Source organism: Homo sapiens, chromosome 16 (assembly GCF_000001405.40).
Source record: "Homo sapiens chromosome 16, GRCh38.p14 Primary Assembly".
Classification (NCBI taxonomy): domain Eukaryota; kingdom Metazoa; phylum Chordata; class Mammalia; order Primates; family Hominidae; genus Homo; species Homo sapiens.
Genome location: NC_000016.10, coordinates 28,341,979 through 28,368,224, shown reverse-complemented (window position 1 = coordinate 28,368,224; position 26,246 = coordinate 28,341,979). Strand labels below are relative to the sequence as shown.

The 26,246-nt window shown below is 47.3% G+C and overlaps 1 protein-coding gene across 7 annotated transcripts; it reads left to right on the top strand.

Annotated features, from left to right (window-relative positions):
- The first annotated feature begins 3,444 nt into the window (after positions 1–3,444).
- On the top strand, positions 3,445–25,708 carry NPIPB6 (nuclear pore complex interacting protein family member B6). 7 transcript variants are annotated; one of them, XM_005255741.5, is made up of 10 exons: positions 4,717–5,202; positions 5,436–5,522; positions 10,728–11,397; positions 11,602–11,689; positions 15,164–15,346; positions 18,984–19,083; positions 19,196–19,391; positions 23,472–23,532; positions 23,642–23,677; positions 25,037–25,708. In XM_005255741.5, exons 4-10 carry the CDS (start codon positions 11,624–11,626, stop codon positions 25,616–25,618), a joined length of 1,224 nt encoding a protein of 407 aa, XP_005255798.1. In that variant the 5' UTR covers positions 4,717–5,202; positions 5,436–5,522; positions 10,728–11,397; positions 11,602–11,623; the 3' UTR covers positions 25,619–25,708. The 7 variants fall into 7 exon arrangements, with proteins under 7 accessions (NP_001269453.1, XP_005255798.1, XP_047290530.1 ...); XM_047434574.1 differs by having other exon boundaries at positions 8,353–11,004; NM_001282524.2 differs by lacking the exons at positions 10,728–11,397; positions 11,602–11,689 and adding an exon at positions 3,445–3,806 and having other exon boundaries at positions 5,124–5,202; positions 5,365–5,522.
- Positions 25,709–26,246: the final 538 nt, after the last annotated feature.

The following is a 26,246-nucleotide window of genomic DNA, read 5'->3' as shown; positions in this document are numbered from 1 at the left end:
GAAGCCCCCTCGCACGCGAGGCCGCCGCCGGGGGCAGGGGCGATGGGGGTGGGCGCAGGGCGATGAGGGGGGACGGCCGGGGGCTCGGAGGGGACTGCTCCCTGGCCAGTGTAGTCAGTCCGACTACGGCTACCTACGTCTCATGTATAGCTTCTTGAGGGGCTGGCGGCCGGGGCAGCGCAATGACAGGGCTTTGGTCTGGATGACGCCCCGCCCCGGGCCAGCCTGGGCCCCGCAGGGCAGTTGGTGAGGGACACAAGTTGGACCAGAAGCGCGAGCGCGGAGAGTCCTGCGGGTCCAAGCCGCGGGCGGCACCGGGCGAGGCCGAGTCCATGCGGTCCGGGCTGGGCGCCGCGCTTGGGGGCAGCGGGCCTGGGCCCCAGGCGAGGCGTGGACCTGCTGGCCCGGCCCGCCGTGGCTGTTGTCCATTTTTTAATGGGATTATTTGGGATTTTTGTTTTTGAGTTCTTATATGTTCTGGGTATTAATCCTTTGATGGATGAATAGTTTGCAAAAATTTTCTCCCATTCTGTGGGTTGTCTCTTCACTTTGTTTTTTTATTTATTTTAGACGGAGTCTCACTCTGTGGCCCAGGTTGGAGTGCAGTGGCACAATCTCGGCTCACTGCAACCTTCGCTTCCCGGGTTCAAGCAGTTCTCCTGCCTCAGCCTCCCTAGTAGCTGGGGATTACAGGCACCCACCACCATCCCCAGCTAATTATTTGTATTTTAGTAGAGACAGGGTTTCACTATGTTGGCCAGGCTGGTCTAGAACTCCTGACTTCAAGTGATCTGCCCGCCTTGGCCTCCCAAAGTGCTGGGATTACAGGCATGAGCTACCGTGCCTGGTCTACTTTGTTTATTTTTAATTTTAATTAAACAAATTTTTTTTCTGTGCAGAAGCTTTTTAGCTTGATGTAATTCTATTTATCAATTTTTGCTTTGGTTGTCTGTGTTTTTGAAGTCTTACTCAAGAAATCTTTGCCTAGACAAGTGTTATAAAGCATTTCCCCAGTGTTTTCTACTAATATTTTCATAGTTTCTTTTCTTTTCTTTTCTTTTTTTTTTTTTGAGATGGAGTCTCACTCTGTCACCCAGGCTGGAGTGCAGTGGTGCAATCTCAGCTCACTGCAACCTCCACCCCTTGGGTTCAAGCAATTCTTCCGCCTCCCTCCCTAGTAGCTGGGATTACAGGTGTGCGCTACCACGCCTGGCTAATTTTTGTATTTTTAGTAGAGACGGGGTTTCGCCATGTTGGCCAGGCTGGTCTCGAACGCCTGAGCTCGGGCAATCCTCCCGCCTCGGCCTGGGCTGGGATTACAGGTGTGAGCCACAGTGCCCAGCCTGTAGTTTCTTACATATAAGTTTTTAATTAATTTCAATTTGATTTTTATATATGGTGAAGCACAGGGGTCTAGTTTTATTCTTCACACATAGATATATCTCATTTTCCCAGCACCACTTATTGAAGACACCATCTGTTTCCCCATGGTATGTTTTTGGTGCCTCGGTGCAAAATGAGCTGGCTGTAAATGCATGGATTTATTTCTGGGTTCTCTGTTGTGTTCCACTGGGCCATGAAATCCTTCCTTTCCAATATTATAAAGTCACCATTTTCCCGTTTCCCTCCTGTCACCCTTGCTGTGTTTGGGCCAAGCAGGGCAGGCAGGACCCAGAACTTGATGTGGCCAGGTGAGGCCAGAGCCTCTCTAGGCTGCTCAAGAAATCTGCGCTGAGGTCCTTGGTCTGCAGGGAGAACCAAATCCCCATCGATGACCCCACAAAACACTGTTAGGTAAACCACAGTGTGAAACAGCTTGAGAAATAGAATCTGTGTCATATCCAACATTTACTCACACTCATGATTGCGAGACTGGGATACCTAAGCAGGAGGAACCAGAAGAGCACCCTCTTCCCCTGCATGTCCAGGTCCCCTTTAGGTCACCTAGGGCATGTGGCTGGAAGCAGGGGCTTCTGGATAGGGGCAGGCTATGGTCGGGGACAGTGGGGGTGGTGGGCCCTGGGCAGTAGGGGTGGTGGTGTTAGTGAAAGGTCTGAGGCAGGGCAGAGATCAGGAGGAATGGCATTCCAGCAGGATTCAGAGATAGGCCAGTAGGTCGGCAGACACAGGAGCAGGTGGCCTGGGACTCAGAGGAGCAGCTGGAGTTGGAGGAGAAGGGCCCTGCTTTCCTCCAGTCTTCTTCTGTTTGGGTGCTGCATTAGCACCCCACTGCACCCCCAACCCCTGTCCCTCCCCTTCCCTCACTCCCTGAGTCTTAGAACCCATTCCTTCATCCCCAGCATGCACCTTCTTCTTTTTTTTTTTTTTGAAACAGAATCTCATTCTTGTTGCCCAGGCTGCAATGGAGTGGCACGATCTCAGCTCACTGCAACTCCCACCTCCCAGGTTCAAGCAATTCTCCCTGCCTCAGCCTCCCAAGTAGCTGGGATTACGGGTGCACACCACCACTCCTGGCTAATTTTTGTATTTTTAGTAGAGATGGGGTTTCGCCATGTTGGCCAGGCTGGTCTCGAACTCCTGACCTCAGGTGATCTGCCCGCCTCGGCCTCCCAAGGTGCTGGGATTACAGGCGTGAGCCACAGTACCCAGCCGCAGCATGCACCTTCTTAAGGACAGTTCCTTTCTGGATCCTTCCTAGGGTTCTGATTTCTAATCCTTCCTAACCCAGCTCACTGCCCCCCACCACCACCCTCCATCCCCCCATTCTGCCTCAGTTTCTCCTTTCCTGATTCCCACAATTTCCAGCAATCAGTCTTGGCCTCAGATTCCTGTCCTTCAGGTTCCAGTGTTCCTTGGGTCCTCTCTCTCCTGTGATCCTCTCTGATTAGGGGTGGGAGGGTGTGAGTTGGAATTAAACCCAGCCTTTATTGGAGTCCTAGGGCTGGATTCTGCATTGTGCTCTGCTGTGTCATTGCACCTTCTCGTTTCCGCTCTTTCTGACTTGCTTCATCCTCTTCATACTCTAAGCTCAGCCAGCGCATGTTGACCCCACCGGTGGAGCGCCGCTCCTTCCCACCTCCTGCTTCTCCTTCTCCATCTCCACCTCTCCATCTTCTGCTCCTGGCCATTCCTGGCACGGGGACCCGAGCTCTGAGCTCTTGCCTTTTTCTGGGGCACCGTCTTCTCCTTCTCGTCACCCCGGGCAGTGCCCCTGGGCTCCTCGGCTGCTGCGGGCCTGGGCCACCCGGGTCAGCGCGGCCCTGCTGACAGCGCAGTTCACACCCGGGGCGGCCGCGGCAGGTGCAGTGCGAGGGGCGCCACCTGTAGGCTGGTGTGGGCACTGCCTAGAGGTTGCTGTGGCGCCGTCTGGAGGTTGCCGTGGCTCTCGTTGGCGCCCAGCGCCGCGCCCGGGGCTTCATGGCTGTGTCGCTGCTGCCCCCTCCCAGGGCCGCAGGGCCCGGGTTCCACTTGGCGGCGTCTTCTCGCGAGTCGCTTTCGCTGCTCCAAGAAGTCGGCGGTGCAGCAACTGACGCCGCTGCTGCTCCGGTCGCCGCAGGTCGCCATATTCCTCGCGGGGGCCGGCCGGGCTCTCGGCTCAGGCCGCCCACCCTGCTCCGGCCGCCGCCGCCTCTCCGTTCCCGCAGCCAGAGGAGGCGAGGGAGCGACCTCCAGGCACTGGGCGCCCGCCGCTTCCCCAGCAGCCGGCGGGGCGGGGAAGAAAGACGCCAGGAAGCGGAAGGCCCCCGCCGGCCCGAGGGTCGCCCGGGGCTGTGCCCCATGGTTCCTGGCCCGCGAGCAGCTGCTGGGACCCCCCCTTGCCAAGTTGCTCCCCGAAAAGCTCTAAGGTTCTCAGGCCTGCAGGGAGTGACAGTTTCCCCCTGACTGTAACGTAAGGCTGCAAACTCGAAGCCAGGAATTTTCTGCATATTCTTAAATAGGATGTTTCAGTCAAAGCCTTGATAATATAACCAATCTTTCTGATTGTAGCCTGCTTATAAAGAGAACATATGTACATGAAAATAAGAATATTTATGAATAGTTTCCAAACTTTAGAAGGATCAGATAGGGAGGAAAAACAAACGCTTCCACCCACCTTTGTTCACAAAAGTGTGCTTTACCAAATCGGTGTAAATTCTAGATAACTTCTGAGAAAAACCTTTCTTCAATCTAGAAAACAAAACAAGGGCCGGGCGCGGCGGCTCAAGCCTGTAATCCCAGCACTTTGGGAGGCCCAGGCAGGGGGTGATCACCTGAAATCGAGAGTTGGAGACCAGCCTGGCCAACATGGTGAAACCCCGGTCTCTGCTACAAATACAAAAACTAGCTGGGCGTGGTGGCGGGCGCCTGTAATCCCAGCTACTCGGGAGGGTGAGGCAGGAGAATTGCTTGAACTGAGCGGAGATCCTGCCACTGCACTCCAGCCTGGGTGACAGAGTGAGACTCTGTCTCAAAATAAAAATAAAGAATGAATCAACAATGTTTTAAATACCAGTTATAAAAACATTATCGTAATAGATTTTTTTGTTTTGCTTGATCTCGCTTAGCAGTTTTTTGAACCATTTTTTCCTTATTAGAAACCACTAGAAATTGGTTTTTAGTTCATTGATTTTTGTTTATTTTTATTTTTATTTCTGAGACACAGTCTCAGTCTGTCGCCCAGGCTGGAGTGCAGTGGCACAATTTTGGCTCACTGCAACCTCTGCCTCCCAGGTTCAAGCAATTCTCATGCCTCAGCCTCCCGAGTAGCTGGGATTGTGTGCCAAATCATTCACCCCTCACCACAACCGAATGAGCTAAGGATTCTCATTATATATAGTTTATGGAGAGGGAAGTGCAGACATAAAGAGGTGAATTGTCTTACCCAGATCACACAGCTGATAAGTGGTGGAGGCAGAATAGAATCTAAACAGTGTGGCTCCGGAGCCCACATGCATTGATTCGACAAGTGTTTATTGAGCACCTGCCACGGACAAGGCCTTGTGTGATTAAATAGGGTTATAATTAGTAATATAAAAATGAGAAATCACTAATGCTTTTTAGACTTAACATTTTCTTTTTTTGTAGGTTTCAGGCACAGAACTGTATATCCAATAATAGTGAAATGGATCCCACTAATTATGACAGAAATGATGATACATTTAAATGACTTGGATGTTTTATAGGTATGATCTCGTGAAACCTTGAGAGAAACTGAATGACGAATGAAACTATTGTTCCTGTTTCACACAGAAGAAAACTGAGGTTAAAAGGGGTAAAGTAATTTTGCATGGCATGAAGTAGAAATTCAAAGTACAGGAATTTGAACTTGGTTCTGTCCTTTTCTGAAGCCCTTGACCACTATAGACTCAAACATCACCTTGTTTTTCCACTCATTCAACACTATTTTTTTAAATTATCTAATAGGTTGGCACTCATGATGAGCCCCTGTTCTCATTCTGCAAATGGTGAAGCTCTCTATTGTCCTGACCCCACAGTTCCTGTCGCATGACCAGAGCCAGCTCACCAAGGAGCTGCAGCAGCATGTAAAGTCAGTGACATGCCCATGCGAGTACCTGAGGAAGGTGAGTGAGTGCAGACAGATGGGGCCTGGTGCCCTTGAGCAGTTCCCGGGTCTCAGCTGCCACACATCTCATAGCGGGTGATGCTGGGGGAAGCTTACGCAGTCACAGTACTGGCTTCTTCCTCTTTTTCTTTCCATACAAGTGGCTTAGGGATGGGGTAGAGTAGTTGACTTATTTGGATGAAAACCACTATCTTCTGTCAGAAACTCAAAAGGAATCATTGCTGGCATGGTAACCTAAAGAAAAACAACCAGACAAGTGCCCAACAACACTTAAAAAGGTTATTTATTATCTTGCCAAGTTTAGGCTGGGCATGGTGACTCATGCCTGTAATCCCAGCATTTTGGGAGGCTGAGGCTGGTGGATCACCTGAGGCCAGGACTTCAAGACCAGCCTGACCAATATGGCAAAACCTCGTCCCTACTAAAAATACAAAAATTAGCCGGGCATGGTGGTGTGAGCCTGTAGTCCCAGCTACTCAGGAGGCTGAGACAGGAGAATTGCTTAGATTCAGGAGGTGGAGGTTTTAGTGGGCCGAGATCATGCCATTGCACTCCAGACTGTGCGACAGAGCGAGACTCTGTCAAAAAAAAAAAAAAATTATCCTGCAAAATTTGAAAAGGAAATTCAAATCAACAGCTTCTAAACTACTTTTTAACATGACTCATAATAAGAAATACATTCTATAGTACATATATATGTTCTATAATTTTGAATAAAAGAATTAACCACATCACATTTATTTTACAACATGTAATACATATTTTTTATTCTCCTTCATTTGTTTTGAATGCTCTGTGCAGTCTACAAAAAGTCCAATAGTAATAATTAAATTAGTCATTAAGTTGAACATTATCTTGTCTTTTAAAATGATAATCTCAAAAATGATCTTTTATTTTTGAGATTTATATAGATACACACACACACACACATACACACACACACACACACACACACACACACACACACACATATAGAGAGAGAGACAGAGTTTCACTCTGTCGCCCAGGCTGGAGTGCAGTGGCACAACCTTGGCTCACTGCAACCTCTGTCTCCCGGGTTCAAGCAATTCCTCTGCCTCAGCCTCTGAGTAGCTGGGACTACAGGTGTGCACCATCATGCCCAGCTAATTTTTGTATTCTTAGTAGAGATGGGGTTTCACCATATTGGCCAGGCTCGTGTCAACTCCTGACCTCGTAATCTGCCCACCGTGGCCTCCCAAAGTGCTGGGACTATAGGTGTGAGCCACTGCACCCGGTCCAAGATAAAATTATTTTAACAATATACTATGAAGAGAAAAACACTGGCTATGAAAGAATATGCATAGTTTTACCCTGTTTAAAAATAAAGATTGAAAGAATACATATGCAAATAAGTTTACTTTTATTTTTGGTAATACTTTACTGGATTGTCTGAATATTGACAATCAGTATGCATCATGAAGCTACATGGCTAACATTGAGTACTGACTGTGTGTGCCAGGCCCTGGGTTCAATGCTCTACATGCACTTATATTTCATTTAATTCTCTCTGCAACCTGAGATGGTATAGCCACCTCATTTTACAGAGTTGAAACTGAGGCTCAGAGACTGAAAGTTAAGCCTGAGGTTACAGTCAATAAGAGGCAGAGCTGGAACTGAAACCTACGTGTGTCTGACCACCAGTTCCTGTTCTGACGGCAGGCTAGTCTGCATCACAGAGTGTGGGGTAGATGGTGCATGCCTGCTAGGATGGGCTAGGTATCACTGTAGGTAAGAAACAGCCCCAAACGATGGAAATGTACACCACTGAAGGCTCTTTTCCTGCCCATGCTGCACATCCTCCATGGCTCTCCTGTGCCCTGTGCCCCACATGCCCTCATCCTGCCACGAGAATAAAGGAGCAGCCTCCATATGGGAGCTGTCAGCTGCTCTAAGAGATGAAGGAGAGGGTGGCCAGTCTCAATGGCTCCCAACTCTTTTGCCTCGAGGTGACACGCTTCACTTCCACTCACATCTCTTGGGTCAAAGCAAATCCCATGGGTACATCCACTTTCAAGTGGCCCAAGAGAGAACCTGAAATACTTGGTGGACTCCATTAAGGCTGTCATATGGTGTCAGCCTGCATGGGAGACTGTGGAGGGGCAGAGGAGGAGAGTGGGGAACTGATGGGAAATGACAGGAGGACTAAGTCACCGCAGATTTGCTTTATCCTCAGCCAGGTGGAGTTTGTCCCAGAGCCGCACAAAATCATCACCAGCATGATGAAACAGAGTAGACTTCAGAAAAAGCAGTTTGGTCGGATGTAATCAGCAGTGAACTCAGAATCAATTGAGTGACATTGAGTCAGTAAATCTCTGACTGCCTCAGTTACCCCATATGATAGTTTTGAGGATGGGAACATTGAGAGAGTTGATTTGGAAGGATATCAAGAGTAAAAATTCCAACATTTTTAGTTCCTTTAAGTTAAATCCAGGCACTGTCTTTCCTGCAAGTCTCCTGTTCCTTTCAGATTGCACAGGTGAGAGTGCTCAGATTAGGGCTGGAGGTTGTGAACTATTGCTCCCACACTGACAGTGCCCCCGTGTCGTGCATGTATTCTGTGCATTTTCCTGTGCTAAACACTCTCCCAAAACAGCGTGGGGCCTGATTCTTCCTCTTTGTTCCAATGGCCCTGGGTGACTCAAGTGCCCATTCAATGACCAGGACACAGAGGTCTTAGAGAGATGCTCCATGAGGCCCCAGGTGCGAGCCTGTACCCTGCCGGAGCATGAGGCAAGGGACAGGGCATCGTCTGTGGGGATAGTGGGGGTAGTGGTCAGCCAGGCTTGGTGACTCTACTTGCTCACCAGATGATCCTACACCTGCCACCTCCGATGGATCCACTGCCTCTGTGCCTGCCTGTACTGCTGATGCTCCAGTGGATAACTCAGCATCCCAGCCTAGGCCCAATGCCACTGAAGATGGACCTGCACCCTGGGGACCCAGGAGTCCTACCACTCAGCTGTCCCCAGGAGTGCCCAGACCCTCATTCTTATCCAGGACCTAGGAGCCCTACCCCTGGCCTTCCCTCATCAGCCGTAAATGATGATTTACTGCTGTTACCATCATCACTGCCTTCAGTGACCAAGGGCCTTCCAAGGTGCCAGCTCTGGAACGAAAGATGCCCTTGGGAGGTGATGACACTCAGGTACACGGGTGCTCAACAGATTGCTTCCTCCTATCCTCAGACGGTCTTTGCATGCATGCAGCCATTGGCACTCCCATTGTATGGAAGGAAACCAGCCCAGGGTCACACAGCTGGTCAGCAGCAACATAGCTGGTCTCAAATCTAAGGTGCCTGGCCATGCCTCCATGAGGGACCGCCTGCAAGGGAGGTTGATCCTGGCTTTGGGGAGCCTTTCCTGGGCTGCACGAATAACCTCCATTGTTCGAGACCCCAAACTCTGCTCACATCTTCCTTTCCCTGTCTCTGCTTGGGCTATGATCACGGTGACTCTAGCAACCCTTCATGGACATTATAGTACTCTCTGCCATTCACTTTTGGTCTAATCTGACTTCAACCCCCACTTACTTGGTCTCTCCTTTTACAACCAACACAACCGAAATCTAGGGCTTTTTTTTTTTTTTTTCTTTTTGAGACAGAGTCTCATTCCATTCTGTTACCCAGGCTGGAGTGCAATGGTACGATCTCGGCTCACTGCAACCTCCGCCTCCCGGGTCCAAGGGATTGTCCTGCCTCAGCCTCCTGAGTAGCTGGGATTACAGGCGGGTGCCACCATGCCTGGCTAATTTTTGTATTTTTAGTAGAGACAGGGTTTCACCATGTTGGTCAGGCTGGTCTCGAACTCCTAACCTCGTGATCCGCCTGCCTCAGCCTCCCAAAGTGCTGGGATTACAGGCGTGAGCCACCATGCCCAGCCAAATCTAGGGCTGGAACATGGCTGCAGCATATAAATAGAATTGAATTCCATAGTTTTGTTAACCCTGTTTTTTGTTTGTTTGTAGTTGTTGCTGTTTTTGAGACAAGAGTCTCTCTCTGTCGCCTAGTCTGGAGTGCAGTGGTGCAATCTCGGCTCACTGCAGACTCTGCCTCCCGGGTTCAAACTATTCTCCTGCCTCAGCCTCCCAAGTAGGTGGGACTAAGGCGCCCACCACCACACCCGGCTAATTTTTATATTTTATTAGAGACAGGGTTTCACCATATTGGCCAGGCTGGTCTGGAACTCCTGACCTTGTGATCCGCCGACCTCGGCCTCCCAAAGTGCTGGGATTACAGGCGTGAGCCACCACACCCAGCCCCTGTTTTGTTTTTGTTTTGCTTGTTTCTTAGGGTTGTTTTTCTATTTATGGTAAAGGCATTGGCTTTCCATTTGTAGCATCAATAGAATATTTCCTGTTTACAATAACCTTATGTCATAGTAAATGGTAAAGGGATTTAAAGCAGTGGTTTTCAGCTCCCAGAGGCCTGAGTGAGTTTGGGCACACTCTGTGTGATCAGGCAGAAGGCCTGTGGGAAGTTTAGCTGAGGACAGGGCCAGGAAAGGTGATGGACAGTGGGGGTCTGTCCTGGTCACCAGACCCCTGCGTCCTGCCCACCTGCTTGGAGCTCCCCACCCATCACACATGATGCTGCCAAGCCCTCTGGGTATTGTGGGCAAATACCTTAGGAGAGAAGCTGATGAACTTTGTTTCTTGAAATGCACAGATTCCTTGGACATCCCTGAGAGGTCAATCATGAAGGTCAACTTGGTTTTCTCCCCCTCATTTGGGTTCAGAATTTAAAGTCCACACACACAGGCAGTAAGATGATTATAGATAAGGACATCATCACTCGGTTTCGGATGTTAAAATGTCTAGGTGGGTTAGGGGTGATTTGAGATCACACAACCTTGTGCCACAAAGAGGAATTCCCAGGCCAGAGGGAGACATTTTATTGCCATGTTATGATCTTATCATTGAGTTGAAAGGCAATCTTGTTTCATTTTGGATTCTTTCTTATGTTTATGTCTTATAAGGGCACTTTGAATTTCCAAGCAAATAATAATTTTGAATTAGCTTTTAATCATTGACTTCTAGCACAGTTATATGATCAGAAACGTGCTGTGTGATTTGATTGCTCTCAAATATATTGAGATTTGCTGGAACAAAATAAGTCAGGTTAATTTTTGTAAATGTACCATGCATGCTTAAAATGAATGTATCTACATTTGTTCCTGAGATACAGGTTGATGGACGGATGGCTACATGGATGTGATGGAGATGGTTTACTATCGGGACCTTCCGCATCCTGCTGATGTTTTGTTGCTTAGGATATGAATGGCTGAGCGGAGGCTGTAAAACCTGGCACTCTGCTTGGGTATGAGGTTCTTCCTGCCATCCTGCCATCATTTGTTTTTTATGTTTTGTCGCCAAAAGTGACCTTGAGGAACCCTGGGAGCTCAGGAAGGAAGGAGCGCCCAGAAGCAGGGACAGGGAGCTGGTTGGGGAGGACCAGAAATCAGGTTTGTGAAGGTTCCAGAGAGGACCTGTCCTTGCGAGGAGTGTGGGAGACTGAGATGGGGGAGGGGTCATTGGAATGATGCGGGCGCTACTTGGCATTGTCCATTGTGAGGCACCACCGGGGTCATCAGGGATTGGTGGAGAGGGAGTATAAAGCCCCAGGTTTGCTAAGGGAGGGCCCAGACCGAAGAAGGTTTGGCGGATAGCAGAACCTTTTTGTCTCCCTCTAATTGCTCCTAAGCCTCACGCTCCCTTGCCCCGCGTGTCCTGTTGCTTCCCTGATCTTCTCCGTGACCTGTAGCTAAACCTTCCACCAGCGCTTGAGAACTTAATTTGAACCGGATCCTTTCCCAGACCCCTTTCTTCTTCTCCTCCCCCTCCTCCACCTCCTCCAGGTGCCCAACAGCCCCCTTCTCCTTTCCCTTCCCTTACTTCCCCCCTTCCCCTCCCCTTCCCCTTCCCCTCCCCCTCCCCTTCCCCTCCCCCTCCCCTTCCCCTCCCCCTCCCCTGCCCCTCCCCAACTCAGATCCGCCCCGGTCCCCGTCCCCTTCCCTCCCCCCTGCCCTAAGCCACCTCCACCTCTGTCCTGGCCGCCTCAGGGCACCCTGAAAGGATCATGACATGCGGCTGCGCTTTTGGCTCCTCATTTGGCTCCTGCTGGGATTTATCAGCCATCAGCCCACCCCTGTGAGTAGACGCTGGACCCGCGGGGTTTCTTCCTTTTTACTGGGCTGTGTCACGCGGCATGAAATTACACAGCTCAGGCCTTGTAATCCCAGCACTTTAGGGGGCCGAGGTGGGCAGATCACTTGAGTCCAGGAGTTGAAGACTAGCCAGGGCATCATGGCGAAACCCCATCTCTACAAAAAATTCCAAAAAAGATTAGTCGGGCCTGGTGGTGCGTACCTGTTATCCCAGTTACTGGAGAGGCTGAGGTGGGAGGATCGCTTGGGCCGAGGAGCTGGACGTTGCAGTGAGCTGAGATGGCCCCGCTGCACTCTTGTCTCTAACAAACAAAATGGACCAAAACAAAGTGAAATGTCATTTGATTTGTGTCATCTGGTTTGATGACTTTTTTTTTTTTTTTTTTTTAGACAGAGTCTCACTCTGTCGCCCAGGCTGGAGTGCAGTGGCAAGATCTCGGCTCACTGCAACCTCCGCTTCCGGGGTTCAAGCAATTGTCCTGCCTCAGCCTCCTGAGTAGCTCAGATTACAACGCCTGGCTAATTTTTGTGTTTTTAGTAGAGACGGGGTTTCACCATGTTCGCCAGGATAGTCTCCATCTCTTGACCTCGTGATCTGCCTGCCTCGGCCTCCCAGTGCTGGGATTACAGGCGTGAGCCACCGCGCCTGGCCAAAATATATACCCTTAAGTGTAAGTTTACTAACTTTGGAAAGTACTTACACCAGCATAAACCGACCCCCTTTCAAGATCTACATTATTTTATTTATTTATTTATTTTTTTGAGACAGTTTCTCCCTTGTTGCCCAGGCTGGAGTGCAATGGGGCAATATCAGCTCACCGCAACCTCTGCTTCCCAGGTTCGAGCGATTCTCCTGCCTCAGCCTCCCGGGTGGCTGGGATTACAGACATGTGCCACCACTCCCAGCTAATTTTGTATTTTTAGTAGAGATAGGGTTTCTCCATGTTGGTCAGGCTGGTTTTGAACTCCTGACCTCAGGTGATCCGCCCGCCTCGGCCTCCCAAAGCGTTGGGATTACAGGCGTGAACCACCGTGCCCAGCCAAGATCTACACTATTATGTCACCCCAGAAAGTGAACTCTCACTCTTCCCAGCCAGTCTCTTTCTTATCATAGGTTAGCTTGCTTATTCTGGAATTTCGCGTATACAGATGCGTGCCATGCCATAGGTACTCTTTTGTGTCTGCTTTATTCTGCTCAACACCATGTTTCTGAAATCATTACCATTGTTGTATGGTTCTCTAACTCCATCATTTCCATTTCAGACTCAGCATATGCTGAGTTCAACCTGTTGAAGGGCTATCTCTGTTTAATTCACCATCTTGAAAGAAACATTTAAAATTGAGATGTTTTCAAGAATATATAGTTAAATCCTGAGGAATCGATGTAGAAATGTTATCACAAGCTGTCTGAACTTACTCAGGGGAAGTCTTCGTCTTCACTCACATAAGAGTCTACTGGAATTAATATCAACAATCTTAGAGAAATCCCACACTATTCATGCCATTTTCATGATCTCCACCTTGGTAATTTTTTTTTTTTTTTTTTTTTTTTGAGACAGAGTCTCGCTCTGTCACCCAGGCTGAAGTGCAGTGGTGCGATCTCGGCTCACTGCAACCTCTGCCTCCCGGGTTCAAGTGATTCTTCTGCCTCAGCCTCCCAAGTAGCTGGAACTATAGGCACGTGCCACCATGCCCTGCTAATTTTTTGTAATTTTAGTAGAGATGGGTTTCACCGTGTTAGCTAGGATGGTCTCAATCTCCTGATCTCGTGGTCCACCCACCTCGGCTTCCCAAAGTGCTGAGATTGCAGGCGTGAGCCACCACACCCGGCCCACCTTGTTAATTTTTAAGCACTAAAATTTGATACTTATTTGTGAATGAAGTAATCTCTTCATTGTATTTTTTTTTTTTTACTTATGCTGAGCTTCAAATGACAAAGATTCATATAATCCAAGAGAGAAGTATTATTTAGAGGGATTCTTTTACCATGTGATATATAATAAATGCATCCAATGTTATACATCAATTTAAAAAACAAGTAAATAACTTTAAAGAAAAGATAACTACTGGCCAGGTGCAGTGGCTCACACCTGTATTCCCAGCACTTTGGGAGGCCGAGGCAGGTGGATCAAGAGGTCACGAGTTGGAGACCAGCCTGGCCAAGATGGTGAAACCCTGTTTCTACTCAAAATACAAAAATTAGCCGAGTGCGGTGGCAGGCACCTGTAATCCCAGTTACTCAGTAGCTGAGGCAGGAGAATCGCTTGAACCCGGGAGGCGGAGGTTGCAGTGAGCTGAGATCATGCCACTGCAATCTAGCCTGGGTGACAGAGCAAGACTTTGTCTCCAAACAAAAAGAAAAGATAATTACTTTATACTTAGCTTGTCTTAGCCATGAGTGACGGGCTGCATGTGGCCCAGGACAGTTTTGAATGCAGTTCAACACAAATTTGTAAACTTTCTTAAAACATTAGGAGATTTTGGCCAGGTACAGTGGCTCATGCCTGTAATCCCAGCACTTTGGGAGGCTGAGGCGGGCAGATTACCTGAGGTCAGGAGTTCGAGACCACCCTGGCCAACATGGCAAAACCCCATCTCCACAAAAAATACAAAAATTTGCTGAGTGCATTGTCAGGCACCTGTACTCCCAGCTACTCAGGAGGCTGAGGCAGGAGAATCACTTGAACCTGAGAGGCCGAGGTTGCAGTGAGCCGAGAGCACGCCACTGCACTCCAGCCTGGGTGACAGAGTGAGACCCCATCTCAAAAACAAAACACCAAACAAAAACAAAAACAAAAAAAAATGGCTGGGCACGGTGGCTCACACCTGTAATCCCAGCACTTTGGGAGGCCGAGGCAGGTAGATCGCCTGCCAGGAGTTCAAGGCCAGACTGGCCAACATGGTGAAACCTCATCTCTACTAAAAATACAAAAATGAGTCAGGCATGGTGGCAGAGACCTGTAATCTCAGCTACTCGGGAGGCTGAGGGAGGAGAATGGCTTGAGCCCAGGAGCTGGAGGTTGCAGTGAGCCGAGATTGCACCACTGCACTCCAGCCTGGGCGACTGAGTGGAGCGGAACTCTGTCTCCAAAAAAAAAAAAAAAAGAGTTTTTTTTTAGATCATCAGCTATTGTTAGTGTTAGTGTATGTTATGTGTGGCTCAAGACAACTTTGTTTCTTTTAATATAGGCAGGGAAGTGAAAAGATTGGATATCCCTGCTTTATACCAAGAAAGACAACACCGCACATTTGCAATGCCTAAAAACACTACCAGCCATCTGAAAAACATGAGACTTCTAACTTCTGTTCTTTTTTGTAGCAGTGGAATCCCACGGTGATATCTGAGGGATGTGGTTACCTTTTGGAGGAGGTTGACGGTTTCTAAGGATGATTCTTTCTGAGTGAAATATTGTCGGTGTCATTGACCTTTTCATTATTTCAACTATTATTATTCCAGGTTATCAATAGTCTGGCTGTCTATCGTCATCGTGAGACTGACTTTGGTGTAGGAGTTCGAGACCACCCTGGCCAACATGGCAAAACCCCATCTCCACAAAAATTGGATAATTTGATAATTATCATTATTGGGTTTCTGAGACGTTACACATTTAACATTCTCTTCTGCACAAGTTGCCTTTGTGTGAGTATACTAACTTTCTGTAGAGGTATACTTGTAATCACAAATAAGAATAAATTATATAAAACAATTCACGTTTCTGGACTTCATTATGAATATGTGGTTTTACCCAAAAAATCAGGGAAATGATTTATTAGCATAAGAATTATGAAAATGTCTGCCATTTACATTATGAAAATTAAATAGGTCGGTGTTTGTTTAATAGAATGTCAACAGAGCTTTTGGTCAAAAATAAGTTTTTTTAGCCTTTGTGCTATTTATCACAAATGGAGTATGAGGTTTCGTCACTTAAATAGGAAATTCTTTCTAAACTCTTCTGCTTTATAGTTCTATCGTATGGGTGGAAGGAAAGCTTCCAATCTCCTCTCTGAAGATTCACTGCAGAAATGAGCTGACAACAGACAGCTTAACAGGAAAAGAAAAACATAGAACAGGCATAAACATGGGAACCAGCTGAAAAATGAGACTGCTAGAAGGGCCGGATGGTTGATGCTTAAAGAGCACCCTCTTCTGAGGGGAGAGGGAGATAGATGGAGATGTAGGCCATTTAGAGGGGCAGCAAATGATTTTTAGGGGAAATGAAAGAGGCCAAGGAACAAACAATTGGCCTGAGACAAAGTTCCTCTGAGGTCATAGGGACGAGGTGACAAACTGCCGGAAGGTGAAGGGCAGAACTGCACTGCGTCTCATGATGCAGAGAAAGCCCCAGAGAATCTCTTAGAACTGCCCTCCAAGAGAATCAATGAAAAGTGTGTCTGGGCAGGGTAATTTTGAATGACATCATTCAAAGTGCATGTTCCCACTTGCAACTGGAGAGAGATCAGTATGTCAAAAGTCTGTACTTGGTAAGAATTTGGCTGCTAAGTTGTGCCATAATTTGTCTTTTGAGCCTTTTTTCCTTTGGGTAAGTTGAGCTCTACATTTTGTCTTGCCATTCATGACAGTAAAAATGTGGTTTTCTGGGGGCTGAACCTCCTGAACAATGATCCAAGATAAAAGTACTAATACCACAATGCTTTTTTATATTCAAGGGAAGAGGAAGTATGTTTCAGTTTTACCACCTAGATAATTACACGTCATTTGGCACTGCCTTTCAAGATATGTAGAAAACAGAAAATATATGAGTTATGAAGATATCTAGGCACACTTAACATTCTCTATGCCACTTAGTCCTGAACAGAGAATTTTCGGTATAAATTGGAGGAAGCTTTTTTTTTTTTTTTTCTTTTCTCACCCCCGAGACGAGTCTCCCTCTGTTGCCCAGGCTGGAGTATAATGGTGTGATCTCGGCTCACTGCAACCTCCACCTCCTGGCTTCAAGCGATTCCCCTGCCTCAGCCTCTCAAGTAGCTGGGATTACAGGTGCCCACCACCATGCCCAGCAAATTTTTGTATTTTTAGTAGAGTCGGGGTTTTACCATGTTGGCCAGGCTAGTCTCAAAACCCGACCTCAAATGATCCACCCGCCTCAGCCTCCCAAAGTGCTGGGATTACAAGCGTGAGCCACCACGTGAGCCAGGGGAAGTTTTTAAATTTACCACTTTTTAACAGTTCCATTTAGGAAAGTTCAGTTGAGCTGCTGGACTTGGACAACTTCGCACCTCTCATCTTTGTCCTTGTCATCTAGTCATCTATACCATTACCTCCTAAGCAGGGACATCATGGGTGCCATGAAGCATTCATGCGTGATGGCATTTCTTTGCTTGTCATTTCTTCATGTGTTTGACATTTCTCCTAGCTCCAAACTGGGCCAGCTACCTTTCCTATGAAATCTAGTAGTAGCTGTGGGATTGACGTGGTTGCTCTTTTCATCTTTTTAGATTACCCATTGCTTCTCTCGAAATCCTAGTACATGATTTTTTTTTTTATCCTATGTGCAGAAATCAGGAAAAAACAAATTCTACAAAGAATTTGAAAGATATTATTTCAGGCCAGGTGTGGTGGCTCATGCCTGTAATCCCAGCACTTTGGGAGGCTGAGGCAGGTGGATGACTTGAGGTCAGGAGTTCAAGACCAGATGGGCCAACATGGTGAAACCCCATCTCTACTAAAAAGACAAAAATTAGCCAGGCATGGTAGCAGGCACCTGTAATCCCAGCTACTTGGGAGGCCGAGGCACAAGAATCGCTTGAATCTGGGAGGTGGAGGTTGCCGTGAGCCAAGGTAGTGCCACTGCACTTCAGCATGGTTGAGAGTGACACTCCATCTCAAGAAAAAAGTCATTTCAATGACTACCTCAGGACATTCATAGGTATCTGACCCACATCTGAGATGGGATTTGCATTGCATTTTCCCTATGATGAGAACAAATATTTAATATCTTAGAAGATTAAAAGCATACTGTGATAATATGGAAATCTTGGTGGGAATTCAGTCATTAGTGAGAATGTTTTGCGTTAAGTTCAAACCAGCCTCAATGAAGCTGATGTGAGGGAAGGGAAAGTGAACTCTGAGTAGAGCAGGGACAGAAGGAAGATGCTCCAGTGCAGATCAGGAAGGAGCAGGGGGTGAAATGTTACAAATTCTAGAACTCAGAGAGCTGAAGGTAATTACTTCCTTTTCAAGTTGTGAAACATGTTAACCTGTGGGAAAATACTTATAAGATGATAATTACCATCTAACCGTGTTGAAGTGTACAGTTCAGTTGTGTGAAGTATATTCATGTCATTTTTTTTTTTTTTTTTTTGAGACGGAGTCTCACTCTGTCACCAGGCTGGAGTGCAGTGGTGGGATCTTGGCTCACTGCAACCTCTGCCTTCTGGGTTCAAGCAGTTCTCCTGCCTCAGCCTCCCGAGTAGCTGGGACTACAGGCGTGCATCACCATGCTCAGCTAATTTTTGTATTTTTAGTAGAGACGGGGTTTCACCATGTTGCCCAGGATGGTCTCCATCTCTTGACCTTGTGATTCACCCGCCTCAGCCTCCCAAAGTGCTGGGATTACAGGCGTGAGCTACCGCACCTGGGCTCTTTTTTTTTTTTTTTTTTTTTTTTTGAGACAGAGTTTCAATTTTGTTGCCCAGGTTTGGAGTGCAATGGCACAATCTCAGCTCACCACAACCTTTTCCTGCTGGGTTCAAGTGATTCTCCTGCCTCAGCCTCCTGACTAGCTGGGACTACAGGCATGCACCACCATGCCTGGTTAATTTTGTATTTTTAGCAGAGACAGCGTTTCTCCATGTTGGTGAGGCTGGTCTCAAACTCCCGACCTCAGGTGATCCGCCTGCCTCGGCCTCCCAAAGTGCTGGGATTACAGGAGTGAGCCACCGTGCCAGCCTCATGTCATTCTTGTGTGTGTGTGTGTGTGTGTGTGTGTGTGTGTGTGTGTGTGTGTGTGACAGAGTCTCATTCTGTCGCTCAGGCTGGAGTGCAGTGGTGTGATCTCGGCTCACTGCAACCTCCGCCTCCCAGCTTCAAATGGTTCTCTGCCTCAGCCTCCCGAGTAGCTTGGATTACAGGCGCCCGCTGCCATGCCTGGCTAATTTTTGTATTTTTAGTAGAGACAGGGTTTCACCATCTTGGCCAGGCTGGTCTTGAACTCCTGACCCCGTGATCCACCTGCCTCGGCCTCCCAAAGTACTGGGATTATTTATACGCATGAGCCACCGTGCCCAGCCGTCATTCTTATATTATTATTTCCTAGGTGTCTTTCCTGAAGACTATCTTCTGGTCTCGAAATGGACATGATGGATCCATGGATGTACAGCAGAGAGCCTGGAGGTCCAACCGCAGTAGACAGAAAGGTATGGCTCTGTTGGAGTCCCCATAGTGTGGAAATGAGTTTGCCCTGGAAAGGGAAAGAACAGCTTCTTGACCTCAGGTTTCTCACCTTCTCCTCTCCTCACTCTCACCAAGGGCTGAGGTCCATTTGTATGCACACAAAGAAAAGAGTTTCTTCCTTTCGAGGAAATAAAATTGGCCTGAAAGACGTCATTACTCTACGGAGGCATGTGGAAACAAAAGTTAGAGCTAAAATCCGTAAGAGGAAGGTGACAACGAAAATCAACCGTCATGACAAAATCAATGGAAAGAGGAAGACCGCCAGAAAACAGTAAGATGTGCCTTGACACAAATACTGTTGTATGAACCATGTGCCAATCAAAGTAGACAACTGTAAAGTCCTTGAGAATATTTTCTACAATATTTGTGGCAAATTCAGTGGGCTCAAAATTGAGTTTGTCCTTTCTGCTTCATTAGTTTAAGCTGTATAATTCCTTTCCCTTCCTACATTCTTGTTTGTAATTTTTTCGGGGGAAGAGGAGTTGCTAGTACTGGCATTGGTTTTCCTTTCTCTCTCTCTTTTTTTTTTTCCTGAGATGGAGCTTTGCTGTTGTTGCCCAGGCTGTAGTGCAATGGCACAATCTCAGCTCACTGCCTTTTGGCTTCAAGCAATTCTCCTGCCTCAGCCTCCCAAGTAGCTGGGATTACAGGTGCCCACCACCACGCCCAGCTAATTTTTGTATTTTTACTAGAGATGGGGTTTCACCATGTTGTCCAGGCTGGTCTCGAACTTCTGACCTCAGGTAATCCACCTGCCTCAGCCTCCCAAAGTGCTGGGATTAGAGGTGTGAGCCACCACACCCAGCCTTTTTTTTTTTTTTTTAAAATTTTGAGATAGAATCTCGCTCTGTCGCCCTGGCTGGAGTGCTATGGTGCAATCTTGGCTCACTGCAACCTCTGCCTCCCAGTTTGAAGCAATTCTGCCTCAGCTTCCTGAGTAGCTTGGATTACAGGTGTGTGCCACCACATTCGGCCAATTTTTTTTTTTTTTTTTTGAGACAGAGTCTCACTCTGTCACCCAGGCTAGAGTGCAGTGGCATGATCTTGGCTCACTGCAACCTCCACCTCCCAGGTTCAAGTGATTCTTATCCCTCAGCCTCTTGAGTAGCTGGGACTACAGGCATATGCCACCATGCCCGGATAATTTTTGTATTCTTAGTAGAGGCGGGGTTTCACCATATTGGCCAAGCTGGTCTAGAACTCTGGACATCATGATCCACACACCTCGGCCTCCCAATGTGCTGGGATTACAGGCGTGAGCCACCGTGCCCGGCCCAATTTTTGTATTTTTAGTAGAGACAGGGGTTCACCATGTTGGCCAGGCTAGTCTTGAACTCCTGACCTCAGGTGATCTGCCTACCTCAGCCTCCCAGTGTGAGCCACCGCACCCAGCCTGGATTGTTGAATTCAATGCTTGGGTCACCTCCAGATTCATTTTCACAGTCTTTCATGTTTTGGTCATATTACATTGTATTTTGCTGCCATATGACTGAGCTCTTTTTGTTAAATGTGAGATACTTGTTAAAAAATATTTAGCAATGAATTGAGGCCTAGTGGCATGTTATCTTGCTGCAGAAGAGATGGGAGTCTACTTCTGGGGGATGGTCACGGGTCCTCCATACAGGCTGCAATTGAGGTCGTCGGTGCAGGCTCAGTCCCTACAAAGGCCAGGGTATTTCCTGTCCACCTCTATTCTGATGCATGACTCTTCTGGGTCTCAACCAGAGCCAGTGGACTTCAGTACGGGTCGCTTTCATTGGCAGACCCTCAATCCACTTGTTTTCCATCTAATCCCACGCATGTGTGCAAAAGCTGCTGTGCTTCTTTACATCTCAGTAGTTCCTTCTGGAATTCAGCAATGAAACTCAGGGAAATGGGTTCCAAATGCGAGGCTGACTTTCGTCCTGGGTTTCCTTCTTCTCCATCTTCACCTCATGTCTGTTTACTGCCATGTTAGCAATTTGATGTATTCAATCATGGGTTTTATATTCTGTTTGGTGTCCCCCATTGTTCTCATCGGAGATCAGAAGCTTCAGATGCACTTATGTCAACTCAAGAGTAGAATGCTTCCTTAGCTTCCCTCCAGAGTCAGGTTTTGTGTTTCTAGTTCCCAAGTGGACAGCAGGAGTAGTGATGTCCTCACTGGCTTCTCATTTGCATTAAGCTGTGAGCTTCTTTACCGTGGGGACAGGACCCTGCTCCCATTGCATTCTCAGCACCACACCACACACTCCTTGTTGGAGGCCACTCCAGACAGCATGTGCTGAAGGATGCCCTGTGGTCAGAAACAAGTTCATTAACTTTCTCTTTGAAGTGTTTTCGCCCCTGTTTCCTAGCGTTCTGGGAATTTTACACATCCTTCCTATAAAACCAAGTATCAGGTGAGATCCTTAGGATCAGGACCATGAATCAAGTGGTGTGAGGGCAACACAGCAAACTTACCCTTTTTAGGCCATTTCCTTTTTCTGCCCTCAATGTCTGTGAACTGAACCTTGTTAAAGTCAGTCAACACCAGGGTGGATGGTTTGCCGTTGTCACCTATTTTCAGGACATAACACCCTGACTTAGGAGCCATTCCGATCATTTCTAATTCAATAGATGCGCCCAGCATTCAGATTGCCTTTTCTCTCAACCAGGATCTTTAAAGTCGATGACAAGAGTTCCAGTCCTGAATCATGGCAAAGTGCAGTAGTGAACTGCGGGGTTAATGACACCATATTCTGGAAGGATCTCTCTATGGCTGATGGTCTCAGTTCCGGCATCAGCCTCTGACTGAGAATCAGGTCTCACACAGGAAGAGTCAGATGAGGAGCAATCCTCTGCTTCCTATGGAGTTAGTTGTGATGAGTTGGTGAGGTCTGGTTTTTCACACTGAACTAAAATGATCTTTCGCTGTGTCAAGCACAAGATTGACCCCAGAGACACACATAGTGCACCTCATAGAAGCTTTTAATAGTCTTTATATTTACTAAAGAATAGGACTAACTATGGAACTATGAAGATGAGCTGGAAATGACAGGTGACTTGCCAGCAGGCCAGAGTGTGATTTTTTTTGGTCCCTCAATGGGAGGTGTCCATTCTCCCTTCGGTTGTGAGAATCAGTTGGTTCATTTGTGGGAAGGTTGCAGGGGGGATCTTTGAATCACAGCCTTCAGATGCCAGAAGGGCAGAGGGAATCCCACATGGACTGGTGGATCATGTGTGTGCATTTCTCTCCCTTCTAACCTGAGGAAACTAAGCATGAAAGAATGTGAGCACGCAGAAAAGGAGAGGCAGGTATCAGAGGCAGAGGAAAATGGGAAATTGGATATGAAAGAAATACACACCTACAAGTGAGTTCAGAAACTGAACCCCACCCTCCTGGGAAACGCCCATTGGAGTGCTGTTTTTAACCTCTGTACAATGTTTAGACCCAGTAAATGCAGAAATAGAAACAAACGGTCAGAAGACATATCGTGAGAGAGAGAGAGAGAGTTCACAAAACAGAAAACAAAGTACCTTAATATTTACCAGTGACCAAAAGATGTGAAGTAGCAAAACGGCTCCTGACCCCATTACCAGCTAGACTGTGTGGAAACTCGGTTCATACCAGCCATTCTAGGGGTGGGGTGAGTTGTTGTCATCCTTAGGAAAGTGTGTTGTTGTAGGATCAACCACATCCTTCAAAAGGACTATGCCTGTTTATAAGCCCAGCTGTTTCTGCCCTGTGAAACACGGTGAGGATATTAATGCAAAGAGAATACAGCTTTATGATAAAAGATGCTCAATGAAGGATGAATTAGGGATATACTGAGAATGGGGAAGGAAACTATCATCTCAGAAGTCAACAGGCAGTAAGCAAGAGGAGGAATCAATACAGCAACAGTTTGGATCAGACCGTACAGTTTTTTTGTTTTTGTTTTTGTTTTTGTTTTTCTGAGATGGAGTCTCGCTGTGTCACCCAGGCTGGAGTGCAATGATGTGATCTTGGCTCACTGCAACCTCCGCCTCCCAGGTTCAAGTGATTCCCCTGCCTCAGCCTCCCGAGTAGCTGGGATTACAGGTGCCTGCCACCACGCCCGGCTAATCTTTTGTATTTTTAGTAGAGACGGGGTTTCACCGTATTAGCCAGGATGGTCTCAATCTCCTGACCTCGTGATCCATCCGCCTCGCCCTCCCAGAGTGCTGGGACTACAGGCATCAGCCACCGTGACCGGCTCAGACTGTACTCTTATAGCCATCTGAAATACGTTTTCTAGGTAGAGATAGATTGTGTAAGGGTACAGTTGTGAGGATAACAGAAACATGGCAGATTATTTAAAATCATCCTGAACGTGGTGCTTTATCTGATGAAAGTGATTGTAATCCATAGGAAAATGTTTCAACGTGCGCAAGAGTTGCGGCGGCGGGCAGAGGACTACCACAAATGCAAAGTAAGGAGCTTCCTCCCCGCAGTTGCAGGATAGTTCAGTGCTGATGCAGATGATGCCACGGCTCTTAGACTCTCTCAACATTCAATTTCTCATGTGTTGGCTTTTTCAGATCCCCCCTTCTGCAAGAAAGCCTCTTTGCAACTGGGTAAGTTTGTTTGTTTTCCTTGCTTTTGAACATAGTCTGCCAGGTCAGGACATGGATACATTTTTCTCCCTACAGCTCTGTGCTCAAGCCCTGCAGAGGGAGATGGCAGAGAGGAAGGCTGCCTACAGGCATCACAGTCCCATCCCTGTTGGTAACCGTGTTGTGCAAAAACACCTTCATCCCCACCCAGTGGGGCCCCTGATCTAAATTCAAAGTGTCAGAGGTTCCATATTTGTAATAGCAAATGGGCCCTGACTGTAAATTAGTGAAGAGTGAATGTAACTTATTACCCACAGGGACAATTCCAAATGAAGGCCTTAAATGATGCTCAGCTAAGCTGGTTCTTGTGTGGCCTCTGTACCTTCAAAAGCTGCCAAGTCCTATGATTACACGTGATGGGACTTGTACACTTGAAGTGAAACACAGTTTTAAAACTTGCTTTGTTTAGAATTCCCACCTCATTTTTCCATGGACAAAAGTATTCTTTATGTCCTAGTGCACTTACAATTTGGTATTACCTGGGAGTGAAAAGAAATATTACAGCCATGCCTAAGTGACTTCTTGAGGTGAGATTGTTCTGTCAGAAAACCCTCTCCCAGTTCCCCTGCAGCTCTTCAGGAATCCACATCTCTCCAGAGCTCTTTGTTCTCATGGGTGGCACCTCCAGAGTGAAGAAGATCCTTTGTCAAGAAGGGAAACAGAGGGGAAATGAGAGGGTCCTGCAGGCAGAGCTGGAATCAACTTCCACTCTGCCTCTTGCAAGCTGTGTGACCCTGGGCACAATTTCTCCTTCCTCTGGAAACCTCTGTTTTCTTAGATTTGGAGCAGGGTGGTCACACTGACCTTGCAGAGTTCTGAGAGTCAGAGACAGAACATAAAAGGCCTGGAAAACATTCTCCAAAAAGAAGCTGCAACATGTGTGGACAATGGGCTTTTCATGCCTCTCTTACTGTCTCTTACTGTCTGTTGACCTGGTGCAAGAAACATGCTCTGGTGATGGCTGTGAGGGAGGAATGAGGATAGACATAGACACTCCTGTGTCTCAAACATGCTTCTTTATTACTCTGTTATGACTCTGTCTTCCCTGGGGCAGGACCCCAGCCTGCCTACATTTGCAGACAGACACAGTGGCATGTGGAGACAACAGTGTGTCCCAATGACTTTTCTTTACCCCCCAGCTGTCGGCAGTACTCAGTGGAAGGGTGATATTATGACACTGATACTGCTATTTTGAAACCTGGAGGATGGAAAGGTGCAAAAATCTATCACCAGCAACAGAAGGTGCAGACTGTGTTGGTGGTGGTAATTTTGTCCATCAAATGAATATGTGTGAAAACATTCCCTCCTTTGGCCCTACAGGTCAGAATGGTGGCAGCGGAGCATCGTCATTCTTCAGGATTGCCCTACTGGCCCTACCTCACAGCTGAAACTTTAAAAAACAGGATGGGCCGCCAGCCACCTCCTCCAACTCAACAACATTCTATAACTGATAACTCCCTGAGCCTCAAGACACCTACTGAGTGTCTGCTCACTCCCCTTCCACCCTCAGTGGATGATAATATCAAGGAGTGTCCTCTTGCTCCTCTTCCACCCTCTCCTCTTCCACCCTCAGTGGATGATAATCTGAAGGAATGTCTCTTTGTCCCGCTTCCACCCTCTCCTCTTCCACCCTCAGTGGATGATAATCTCAAGACTCCTCCCTTAGCTACTCAGGAGGCCGAGGTGGAAAAACCACCCAAACCCAAGAGGTGGAGGGTGGATGAGGTGGAACAATCACCGAAACCCAAGAGGCGGAGGGTGGATGAGGTGGAACAATCGCCCAAGCCCAAGAGGCAGAGGGAGGCCGAGGCACAACAATTACCCAAACCCAAGAGGCGGAGGTTGAGTAAGCTGAGAACACGCCATTGCACTCAAGCCTGGGCAATAAGAATAAATCCGTAGGTCGAAAAAAAGAAAAAAATCAAAAAACAAAACAAAACCCACGCTCCAAAAACAAACTAACGAAGAATAAATAAATAATATAAAAATAAAATAAATACTGCAGTCCTTATGTTATTGCTTTGTTTCAATATCTGGTATGATTGCCTGAGGGACCTGAGGTTTTTAATTAATTGTAGGGTTTTTTTTTTTAATCTTTAGAAGTGGTTGGTTATGTAAAATATTATTATTTTTTTTTTTTTTTTTTTGAGACTGGGTTTTGCTCTGTCACCCAGGCTGGAGTGCAGTGGCTCGATCACAGCTCACTGCAGCCTCAACCTCCTGGGCTTCAAGCAATCCTCCTGCCTCAGCCTCCCAAGTAGCTGGGATCACAGATGTGTGCCACCACGCCTGGCCAATGTTAAAAAATCCTTTAACTTTTTTGTAGAGATGCACTCCTGGACTCAAGCGATCCTCCTACTGGTCCCGACCACCAGCCTCTTTCTGATAAACATTTACACTGTTTATTATCTGATGCCATTTCTATCTTCTTCCTTGTCGTCCAGACATCAAAGAATTAGGTTTCTTCAGGGTTTTCTTTTTCAAGTCCTCATTGTTAAAGATCACTCACATTAGGGCCAGACACCACGAC